The sequence below is a fragment of the Homo sapiens genome, chromosome 6, assembly GCF_000001405.40.
Source record: "Homo sapiens chromosome 6, GRCh38.p14 Primary Assembly".
NCBI classification, from domain to species: Eukaryota; Metazoa; Chordata; class Mammalia; order Primates; family Hominidae; genus Homo; species Homo sapiens.
Genome location: NC_000006.12, coordinates 52402922 through 52415465, shown reverse-complemented (window position 1 = coordinate 52415465; position 12544 = coordinate 52402922). Strand labels below are relative to the sequence as shown.

Here is a 12544-nt window from a genome sequence, read left to right as displayed (position 1 = left end):
GAAAGTAGAACAGGTTAGGTCCTGAGAGCCACATTCCTGTCCTGTTAAGAATATTTGTGTGAGTTTGGACAATTTACCTATCCAAGTCTCCTGCTTTTCATCTCTAAAATGAAAAGCCAGGACCAGAGCTAATGACCATTAATTGTTTGAGGGTCATGGGATCATTTTTAAAATCTTGTAAAAGCTTTAGACTTTGGTTCCCTAAAATGCACACATTCACATGTACTTATAATTTCATGTAGTTCATGAAAGCTCCAGTGAGTCTAGAAATCACTTCATTGAGTTTTCCCCTCTTTAAAATCTATGGAATGAAAAGTCTACAATATAGTACCCCAAAGGCAGAATGATGTAGCGGTAAAGTGAGTGGACTGTAGGAAACTCTCCAGGACAAATGATTGTTTGGCCAACAACTGAATTGGAAAGGAGTAAAAAGACTGGGGTAGAAGGGAAACCTATAAATTAGAAAGAGATTTAAGTAAAAAGTCAACCAATTGCAATGTGTGGGTCCTATTGGGATCCTGATTTAAACTAAATACTTTGAAATAATTATCACATTTGTGAGACCATTGGGAATTCAAACACAGGATATTTGATGGTAAGGAATTGTTCTTCAGTTTTTTAGACATGATAATGATATTGTATTCTTGTGTAAAGAGTCTTCATCTTTTAAGGATACATAAAAAGCATGTATTGTAGGAAAAATTATATAACATCTATAAAATTATAGATATTATATAATATCTTATATAATATATGAGATAGTATATATTATATAATTATATAATGTCCAAAATAATATGGACAGAAGCAAGTGAGTAGGGATGTAGATGAAACTAGATTCCCCATGATTTGATAATTGTGTATGTGATTACATGGGAATTCATCATACAATTCTATCTACTTTTGTATATGCTCAAGGTTTTTCGTAATAAAAAAATAAAAATAAAATATTATGGACTGCAGAGTCAGACTGCAGAGTTGCAAATCCTACCACTTACCAGCTCTGTGACCCTGCAGAAGTTTCTTAACCTTTTAATAGCCATAAACAGGAATAATAATTGTTATTCCCAATTCACAAGGTTGTTGTGAGCATTAAATGAGTTCATATATGTTAGCACTTACTGTAGTGCCTGGCACATAGTAAGCGCTCACTGACTGTTTGCTATTACCATTGTCTGGGGGAGCATGGTGAATGGACAGTTTGGTCAGTGACTGGGAATTGGAAAAACTATGGAAAATTAAAGACAGATTAAGGTAAAAAGAAAGGAGAAAAGGGGGGTAGGGAAATATGTTGGGCACTTTAGAGAATGCAACATGTAGAAGGGTTTGGTTTGTGTGAGTTAAGTCTTTCTTTCCTTTTTACCCACCCCCCACCTACCAACTCTGAATAAATATCACACACACACACACACACACACATACACATACACACACACACACACACACACACACACCCAGATCCTTTTAGACACACACACACACACACCCAGATCCTTTTAGAGGGTAGGAGGGCATCTAATCTCTTTTCAACGTAGAGTTTATGAAAAGAGCACAACAGCTTTCTGGTGGGCCACAGAGGAGGCTAGATGGCTGGAGCTTTCCGTGGAGCCATGGTCTTTTCCCTATTTGTTTGGTTTACTATTTTTTTTATCACCACTAGAATGCGAGGCAGACGGTGAATATAAAACCTTTGCACCCAAAGATGAAGGTGCTTGCAGGTAGATGAGTTGGTTGTGAGTACCAAGAGTAGAGGCAAAGACCCAGGTGGGAAGTTGCCAAGGTGCAACCCAGGAGCACCTGCTTACACAGGGTAGACTCAGATGGGAAACACAGCCACACTGAAACTGGCTGTTCACAACATTTTCTCTGTACTTAACTCCCTACCACAGAGGTTCTATTGTATTCACACACATGATAAGCTTCCCATCTGTATCTCTGCTGAGATCTGCAAATCCCATTTCTCCCTTTAATAGGGTATAGATGGGGGGGAAGGGAGGGGTCTTCGTGTCCCATTCTCTACCTGTGCTTGCTGAGTTGAGAGACCAAGAGCCACTGGTTAGAAAAAACTGTCAATTTCATAGGGAGGTTAAAACTGAGGTTGGCCCTGCGATGCTGTATTAAGTTTTCTAGGGTCATCGTAACAAAGTACCACAAGCTGGGTGGCTTAAAAAGAATTTTTTTTCTGTCACAGTTCTGAAGGCTAGAAGTCTGAAATCAGGGTGCTGGCAAGGCCATTCTCTCTCTCTGCCTGCCCCGCCACCCTAACCCACACACCCCATCCCCCAGTTTCTGCTTATTACCAGAAATCCTTGGCACTCTTTAGCTTGCAGATACATAACTCCCATCTCTGCCTACATTGTCACATGATGCTGTCCCCTGTGTGTGTCTATGTGTCTTCACATGGCTGTCTTTCCTCTGTGTCTTCTCCTCTTCTTATATGGACACCAGTCATATTGAATTAAGAGATTGTCCAGTATGACCTCATCTTAACTGCTTACATGTACAACTACCCTGTCTCCAAATAAGGTCACTAATTGAGGCAGCGGGGTTTAGGACTTCAATATATCTAAGGGACACAAACACATAATAGATGGGAATCAAAAGGTAGAAAAAATGAGTATGTGGACCAGTAGGGTTTCTTCTGTAGTCTGAGAACACTTGGGGACCATAGTGAGAAAGGGCGGTGCTGCCAGAATGTCTGGGTGGTGTGTGTGTGTACCAATGGAAGGTTCTTCCTGATGCCTGAGAGAGTCTTTGATCATGCAGACTGAATGTCAGGGAAGGAATGTGGAGGAAAGCAAGAAATCCCCCATTTCCCAGGGAAGATGAACTACATCTTATTCCGTTGTGGGTGGAGAAAAATCCCTCCCAAGGACAGAGAGCTCCTGTTCTGGTGAGAGACGTCTGGGAGCCCTTGGAGAGTGTGGATGAATTTGTGCAGAACTCACAACACCCTGCTCAGCGTGAAGTGATAGAAATAATGACTGTGGGCCAGGTGCGGTGGCTCACACCTGTAATCTCGGCACTTTGAGAGGCTGAGGCGGGCGAATCACCTGAGGGTGGGAGTTCGAGACCAGCCTGACCAACATGGAGAAACCTGGTCTCTACTAAAAATACAAAATTAGCGGGGCGTGGTGGCACATGCCTGTAATCCCAGCTACTAGGGAGGCTGAGGCAGAATCGCCTGAACCTGGGAGCTAAAGGTTGTGGTGAGCTGAGATTGCGCCACTGGACTCCACCCTGGGCAACAAGAGCAAAACTCCATCTCAAAAAAAAAAAATAGAAAAAGAAATAATGACTGTGTGATTACCACTAGCACTTTCCGAACACAAACTTTGTGCCGGGTACTGTGTGCAAAGGTATTTTTCCTGGAGCAAAATTAGTCAGATTCCAAGATAATTTGTTCTTGTTTAGAAAAGAGAAAACACTAGATGGAGATATTTTGCATGTTGCCATTGCTGTCTTTAAGAAATTTGTTTAGCCTGGAATCATGCTCAAATTTATTTTAATGAGGAATAAGATATATTAAAAGGTCCTAAAGATGAGAAAGTATTCACTAGAGTCATTTTATAAACATTAGAGAAGCATGCAAAAATAATTTGAAGTCAGTGGTTCTTAAAGTGAGTTTCTGTCCTTCAGATCCTTCAGGTCATTACAGAGGGCTTCTGAGATTGTAATGTGAGTAGCGCCATGTTGTATTCTAGCACAAAATACACTTAGGAATCTCAGCCTTGGTACCATTCGACAATAACAGTATAAGGACTTTTGCTTGGCTAAAGTGTCTAGAAATAAAATGAGAACTGCATCCTTAGGTTTACTTCATTTATCAGGGGTGGGGAGATGGAAATCTACATTACACTTCCCTCTTAATTTTAAACTTTTTATGGTTCACACAAGTGACAATGTGAGAAGTTAGAGGAAAGAATCTTCTACATTCACTTAATTTTAGTGGCTAAGAATATAGACTCTGGATTCAAAGGCCTGAGTGTCTGTGAGATTCCATTACTTAAGAGCCAGGTAGTTGTGGGCAAATTTACTTTATGCCTCAGTTTCCTCATTTGCAAAATGGAGGCAGTATTAGTGCCTACCTCACAGGGCTACTATGAGGGTTAAATGAAGGAATCTAGGAAAACAGCTCAGCTCAGTTCTTGGCAAGTGGTGAGTACTAGATAATGTAAACTGTTATTATCCCCAATTTATAGGCTCTGCCTTAGACATGTCATGTCATTTCTGCCCAGAGGATTATCCAGAGTACAAACTAGTGTCCAAAGAATGAGAAAACATTCAAAGCCTATGTCAGAAGCAGAGGTCAACATTCTGGGCACTTTAAAAATGCTCTGGGAGGAATCTGGGAAGAATTCTGCAAGCATGAGAGTGTGGCCACAGGAACACAGAGTTTGCTGGCCTACACATGGAATAACTTGATGTCAGTCTGGTTTTGTGCATATTGCAGGAAACAGAATTTGCTCTATTTCCTAAAGGCAAAGTAATGTGCAATTAGTAATTAATCCATATCGATAGATAGCTACCCTGAATTTCCTTGGACAGAATTCTTCCTCACATACCCCATTCCCAAAGTCACAGTAAAAGCAATTCTTCACAAGACCTATACAACTTGTCCTCATCTTCTGCTGTATTTTCCCTCTCTGCATTTTCCCTCCTGGCCATTCCTGGCATGCCCTAGGCTCAGAGCCCTTGCACTTCTTCCCTTTGCCTGGGTGAGAAACAGAGCTGGCTCCATCACCTTTTTTGGTATTCTTCCCTGATCCTGTTTAAAATGGCACACTTACCAATTTCTCCAGTCTATCTCTCTTCCTTGCTCTCTGTTTCTCCTTGGCACTGTTATCTTCTAATATATAATTTATTGATTTGGTTCATTGTTTCTCCATAAGGGCAGGAATTTGTGTGTTTTATTCATTCCTGTATCCCAGGTGCCTAGAACAGAGCCTGGTATCCAGCAGTGGTCACTGTGGAAGGACTGACAATGAATCCACATACTCACAGGTTCAGCAGGCCAGTCCTTACCTCCAGTAAAGGTATTTCTAGCACAGTCCTCTCTGAGAGCTTGATTCAGGAGAAACATTCCATGCAATTCTTTCAACATGAGAGACAATGTATCATTGGCTTGGATTAATGAGCCAGTATCAGCCACAACAACATCAAATTACCTACATAATATAATGTCAGAAGGGAGTGTAATGTCATTCTCGGTACTCCTGTAAACTGAGCCAGACGGTTGATTTTGTAACTTAAAGAATAAAATACTAGGCTGCTTAAAATTTCTAGTTTACAATATCTGTTTTTTCAGGAATCTTTACATGACACTGCTACACCTTTTATCATTGACAATATTTTGACATAAGCCTTATTTTTCCCTAACAGGGATTTTATTTTACTGATGGATCCAAGGATTATCTTTTCTTACTACTTTTCTAGTTTCTTTAATAAGCATATATTGCTTTAAGAAATAATCAAAGACTTTTTTGTGCTTTCTAGTAAGTCTGCAAAACTCTTTCATATGGCAGAGAAACATTTTTTAAATCCCATGTTCAAGTTCATATCTCTTGTCAAAATCCCGGGGAAAGGTGATTGTTTAAAGAACTGACAATCCCATCAAAAGATAAAAGGGAGGATTTGAGATTTGGCAGGACTTTCTCATCCAAGGATCCAAACATATTTTCAGGAAACTGACTGGAGAGTAGGACTTGACTTTATAATCCAGTCCCCAAGGGCCCATGGACAATGAACTTTGGGGTTCTGAGAAGCCTCTGTGATGCAATGAATGCTTTATTCTGCATCCAAGGATGTGGGTGGAGTGAAGTCACTTTAACTCAAAAAAGAAATGATGCAACCCTGGCTATGCATGAGATATTAGGATCAAAAGTTAAAAGATTATGTCAAAGTGTACATAATGCATAAAAGTGCTTCATTTGCTGTAAAAAGCTCTGCAAGTATTTGGTGCTGATGTTTCTGATTAGCTGGACCGTGAATTTTTCTGAAGGAAAAATGAGTTTAAACATTATAACTAGTTGTGTGGCTTCAAACCAGTCACTTGACCTTTCTAGTGTTTCCTAGTTCAATGGAGACCTGTTTGGCCTTACTTACCTCATACAGTTTAGAAGCTCATATTGATGTGGAAATGTTTTAGAAATCATAATGCACAATAAAATTTGAGCTGTTATTCTGTAGCCTTCCATATGGTCCAGGCCTCTTGGAATCTTAAAATATAGTGAATACCTCTTCCAGTGAGAATCCTGTTATGTAAGAAAAGCCCTTACCATAGATAGATATGCTCCCAAAGTTAATATTTAAATGAATTATCTTTTTAATGCAATGATTTTCCTTCCATGTTAAATTACTTCTATAATAATTCCACAAAGGATATGGTTATTGTTTTAAGGAGGTAGCCAGAGTGCAGCATGCTGTTTTCAACTTACCAAGTTAGGAACCTGTATTCAGGTTGGAACCACACATCCTCTTCCTTGAAGGATGGGACTTTATGTACCTGGGAAGTCGCTACTGCTTGTGGAAATTTAGGCCTTCTCTCTCTCTCTGTCTGGATGTGTCAAGGATCCCCATGACTGAGTTAAAACAACTAGAGGGTAGTGAGAAGGGTCGGAGAAGTAGCAGGAGTAACGGGAAGTAGAGGCAGCTTTAAGGTGACTGCCTTGCTACAGGGGAAGATGTTTCCAACCTCTGGAGGTAAAGGGGAGAGAGGGCTTAATCCTTATGAAGAAGTTCTGGCCCAAACCAGGTCCCAGCCTCCTGGCCCTCAGGCTGTGATTGGAACCACGATCCGGGGAGAGGGACCCTCATGGCCCAAGGAAAAGATACTGGTCCTCATTTAGCAGACGGCAGACTCTCTGCCCACAGAGTGTGTTTTTCCACACTGTGGTGTCTCCAGAGCCAAGGTGGTACCTTTCACCAATAGGTGCTCAATAAATTCTTGCTAAATTAATAACTGAAGAGTGGTTAAACTAGTAACAGTAACAACAGAAGGATTTTCAAACTGCCTGGGGCCCCTGCTGGTGAAAAAAAAAGGGTTTGGGCAAGAGTGACAACCATAATTCGACCAGTGGAGCCTCTAGCCATAGAAATGCTGTTTTCTTAGTGATTATGATAGTACTATAGCCTGAAGCTGCAGTTGCAGCTTCAGCAGTGCCTAGAGAATCACCTTTTACACAGCTCTTTTAATCTAACTTTGAAGGCTACATAATTAGTTGGTTAATAGATGCCACATTTCACAACACGTACATTGTAGTACCTGCTATAGTTAAATCATAGTATAATTCATAATTTTTACATTTATAAAATTGTAGCCAATGAATTAAAAATGTTGAAATCTTTTACACTATCATCTATGAAACTAGGAATATTTATTTAATTACATTGAAATCTTCAGAGAAATCAACTTCATAGCATTTTGTGGGGAAGCAATTTGTTCTACTCACAAGTAGGTATTAGGGTGTGTGTATGGGGGATATGTGTATGGGGGATAAGGCATGGAGATTTTTTAAAAGTTTTTATACTTTCCTGCTTCTTGGTAGAGATAGTGTCCTGACCTCCTTTTCCTGACAATGTTTGTATAAATAAAACCTTTCAGAGGGGGCCTCTTCAGGGTAGTCCTTGTTAAGACCTTGTCAAAGAAACAAAGTAGCTGTTTCTTTAAACTGCTGACACTACAACAATGCATATACAAAATCACTTTAATGGTTATTCATATAAGTAGATTTATATAGACAGAAAATAGCTCCATTTTTTTTTTTTTTTTTTTTTTTTTTTTTTTTGCCAAGCAAGCAAAACACAAGACCAATAGAATTAGTAGACAGAAGCCTTGGGGACAATGGCAGTGCCCTTTCTGAGTAAGACATGAATGCCATCTGGAGGATCCATTTGAAACTACAGTGCAGTAACCAAAGAACCTAATGTTTTCAAGCATAAAGGTACTTTTTGTGAACAGGTGGGCAACACAGGCAGGAATAACTACCTTCATTCTATGGACTTAAATTCCTATTTCTTTCTAGCTTCCAGTAGAAGACTCTTGAGAATATTGTTGTTGAGTGAAGTACTTTCCGCTGAAATGGGAAATGAACCCCTAGAGTCTTACAAGTATTATTAAGCATCAGTAAATACAGGTCAGGAAGAATTAGGCAAGAGAGAAGCAGGCAAATGTGTCCTGTTTGCTGTGTCCTGCCATCTCCTCTCCCTACACTGCATTTCATTCATGAGAGGATGTAAATGACTGATAGTTTAGTTTTTTCAAAGGTATTTACATTTTCATAGGTTGAAAGTCTAAATTAAGAGAGAGAGAGATAAAGTTAACCAGCAGAATTTCCAGTAGATATGTTGGAGGGGCTATGGTTGAATAAGCCATCTCCTTTATAAAATTGTTGATTATTCCTTTTAAACTAGGTCTGTTTCTTACTGATACACTAACTTTAACAAAAATGTTTTAAAAGGATTAATTCCTCAAAAGTCTGAGTAGTTAAAAACATCTGCATTTCCTAGTTTATTTCTAAGAAGATTCTGATATTCTGAGGGCATGTCATAGAGTCTCCTACCTCAATGCCTCTCAAATATCTCCTATTAAAAAACTGTTTCTAGGGCAGGCGTGATGGCTAATGTCTGTAATCCCAACACTTTGGGAGGCTGAGGTGGGCGGATCACTTGAGTTCAGGAGTTCAAGACCAGCCTAAGCAACGTGGCAAAACCCTGTCTCTACAAAAAATGCAAAAATTAGCCAGGTGTGGTGGCACGCGCCTGTAGTACCAGGTACTTAGGAGGCTGAGGTGGGAGGATTGCTTGAGCTGGGGAGGTCGAGGCTGCAGTGAGCCGTGATTGCATCACTGCACTCCAGCCTGGGCGACAGAGTAAGACCCTGTCTCAGAAAAAGAGATTAAAAAAAAAATTTCCAACCACTTGAGGGGCCAATACTTGTATAAATTAAAATTGTATGGCAATATCTTCATGCCTGTTCCTGTGCTCATCATGTCACAGGCCATTAACAATGTTCAGATTGGCACTGGTCTGTGCACCCATCTGATCATTGCTCTACCTCCGGTTCTCTCTTTTAAAAAATACGTGGATTTGAACTAAAGATCTCTGCCCACAATACCACCAGTTATATTCAAGAGCTTGACTTACACCTTCTTCCCTTCTGCTCTCTTCCCTCCCTTCTCCTTCCAACTTTCAAAATAAGTCTTTGAATCCGTAATAAAGAAAACTTCAAATAATTTCTAGTCCCTATTTTAAATTGACCTTCTACTAACAACGTATTTGCACAATTCCCCCATCCTCTTGTTCAGTTCAACCCAGTTCAGTTTTGCTAATTTTATTTGCCATAAATTTGTCCTAGACACCAGAAGCTTGTATAAGACACTTGGGTAACACAGAAGTTCAGATATTTGAGGATTAACAGGAGAAATCCATCTAAGAAAACAATGTAGCTGACAAGACGCATGCTTTCTTGATATAAAGATTATTGGAAAGCTTCAGTTGAATATGTTTGTTTGTGGCCAAAATAGATTGAGAAAGTCTTTTGATTGATAAGCAATTCTAGCTTTCTGAAGTTTCTTTCATTCACTAGTTGAAGAGCAATATATATTTTTTCTTATCCCAATAACCCAGAACAGAAAATTCTACATGAGCATATATTGTGTTCATACATTTCCATTTATAAGGCACAAAACCCACAAATCTCACAAAAAGGAAGAAAACAAAAGATTTGAAGACAATAAAGTAAACTCGGAGGAGGTTCATCAAACTGGAGTTAAATCATGTCCCTTTTTAGTAACTAAGGGACCTCATACTGACAGGAATCATTGCCTCTGAAAAGAGGGCTTCTGAGCCCTTCTTTTGACACAGCCTCCTTCACTGGATTAGTGCAGAAGTCAATCCTCAGGGAGGGCTGCATGGCCACAACACATCAATCCCAAGCACCACCTATCCCATAGAAGCTTCTGGGCAGCAATGCTCCAAACAAACCAGGGTGCCTGGTTCACATGTTCTCACCCAAAGGAGCCTTCAGGGACCAATCCACAGTAAACACACATGCTTGCCTATCCCAGTACTTGAGTATTTTATGGGTTCTGCTCTAAGCTGAAGCAGAACTGCCTGCCTGAGAACCCTGAACTAGGTTAGTTTTGTGGGTCCTTCGTGGGGCAGCATCTATGTAGGAGGCTGGACTTTGGGTTCCTCTTGAAATAATGAGGTCCCTAGAGGGATCCTTAGAACCAACTAATCCTACCAAGAGCTTTTAAAACATGCTGGTCAAATATGGCGATTCCCTGGTGCAACCCCCAGATCTCCTGGTCTGTTAGGCAGCCCTGATAACTCTCAAGTAATCCTGTAGTCCACTGGTAAAAAATAGATGGGTCCCATGATACCATATAGTATCTATGCTTATTGGCTGGGCCTCCTGGTGGCTCTTGGCACTGTAATTTCTAGTACTGTTTAGATTAGTATTATATGAGAATAAGCTTCCTGAATGTCCACATGAATCCAAGCATTTCCTGGAAGTATGACTGCTTCCTAGTCCTTTATATTACCATGCAAGGTAGGGATGTGAGTGAACAGCACGTCAGAGAAAACTGCCAGGTGTAGACAGTTATCCTGAGAAAAGGGTTAGTATTATAGTTGTCGAGAAAGGAGGGACCAGAAATCAGATGAACTGAGTAATTCATCATGTCATCTTGAAGGCTTTTCCACTCTGGACAATTTGAAATCCAAATGAAATTCGGTCCTTGGGTCAATTTATTCCATTACCAAAGAACAGCATAGTAGGATAGCCATTCCAACAGGGTGAGGACCAGCCACCTACTTACTTTCCAGTCCAATTTTATTATCCATTCAGCTTTTAGGAATTGCCCCTGGAGGCCATAGTCGGAATTTTGCTAAATTTTCAGGCATGAAGATGATTCTCCTTAATTCAATGTCTCATGAATCTTAGTCAAGATCCCTTCCCTTCCTGTGCCTTGTTAAGCTATGATCCAAAAGGAAAAGGAGTATTCCTTTTATTAACAACAACAAAACTCTTAAATCCTTTGGCTTTCAAACACTGCAGCTATAACATATCCTTGGATATATGTATTAATTTAAAAGCCAATGCCTTAAAAGTCAGCTTCTATTGTATCAAGTTTTCTCCAAATTATGAGGGGCTTCCTCCACACGTTGCCCCACTTGCCAGCCTCAGGAATCTTTCTTGGTCAGTCTGGCCTTGACTTTGTGCCTCAGAAGGGCTGCGGTGGCAGCACTGCAGGCAGCCAGGAAGAAGAAGGAGAGGCAGGCCATGTGGACAGATAGGGGTCCATGGCGCTGCAGGAAGATCTCCTGCCGCCCCTGGTAGTCCAGGAGGATGGCCTCCAGCTGGGAGAGCGTACAGATGGACAGAAATGCATGGAAGATCTGATGCCCATGGCCCACGATGTCACAGGAACCCGGGAAGTACTTCTCAGGCACGGGGCAGGAGAAGAAATAAGCGCTAACCAGGAAGAAGAGGATCTGGAGGGTGTGGTACCAGGCTGCTTGCTCCTGGCAGCCAGCCAGGTGACAGAGCGCCACACGGTGTGCCACAGGGCTGATGTCTAGGATAAAAGCCAGACCTGCTGGCACCACTTGACAGATCTTCCTCATGACTGGATAAGGCCTCCGGTAACGATATTTGGCATAGCAACAGCCAGCACAAGATAACCAGCCACAGAAGGCAGCTGCTGGCAAGAAGAAAAGCCAGAACCGGTCATACCAGGCCTGGTCAGAGCTGTAGAAGAAATGAGCCAAAGCACTGCCATATTGGTAAACGCTCACGCCAACATAGTCCACAAAGTAGAAGGTGTAGTGGGAGAGCTCTGACTTGGACTGCAGCAGGTGGGCCAGAAGGCTGCAGGTGAGGTAAGTGATTGACGACAGGATGAAGAGGAGCAGAGGCAGGGAGTGGGTAGACGCCCATGGCAAGGCCTCAGCCTCGGCAAAGGCCCAGAATCGCAAGAGGACGGCCAGGGCTGCCAGTAAATGGGTCCAGACGTTGACCACCTCGTTGTGTTTCTGAAAGAGGCTGAAGAAGTAGTAGCGCCACTCGTGCCCCGTGGGGCGGTAGCCGGTGCGGATGTAAGGCTCCCGGAAGAGCTGGGGCACATCCGTTTCTGGGACAGTGCAAGGCATCTTGGGAAGCCCATCCTCCAGGATCTTGGGCAGGCGGCGCAGCTGCTGCCCGCTGACCGACAGGGTGCTCAGGCGCTCCAAGATGGCGGTCGTCATGGCAGCGGCCCGCATGCACTCCGTGCCGCGCCCTCAGGACAGGGTATGCAACCTGCAGAAAAGAAAGGAAAATTGGCAAAGCCGCAGTGAGACACGAATGCAGCTAAGACGGACAAGGAACTATGGCTATTTTCTTTTCTTTTGAGACGGGGTATCACTCTGTCGCCCAGGCTAGAGTGCAGTGGCACGATCACAGCTCATTGCAACCTCTAATTCCTGGGCTCAGGTGATCCTCCAGAGTAGCTAGGACCATAGATGCACGCCAACACGCCCGGATAATTTTTTGTTGCTG

At 41.9% G+C, this 12544-nt stretch overlaps 1 protein-coding gene across 1 annotated transcript in view; it reads right to left on the bottom strand.

The window, feature by feature from the left end:
- The window catches only part of PAQR8 (progestin and adipoQ receptor family member 8), a 45627-nt gene continuing 40771 nt past the window's right edge, over positions 7689-12544 (bottom strand). Inside the window, exon 2 of the mRNA NM_133367.5 lies at positions 7689-12304. Within this exon, the coding sequence (NP_588608.1) occupies positions 11188-12252 (1065 nt within the window). The 5' untranslated portion in view covers positions 12253-12304 and the 3' untranslated portion in view covers positions 7689-11187. The remainder of the gene's footprint in view (positions 12305-12544) is intronic.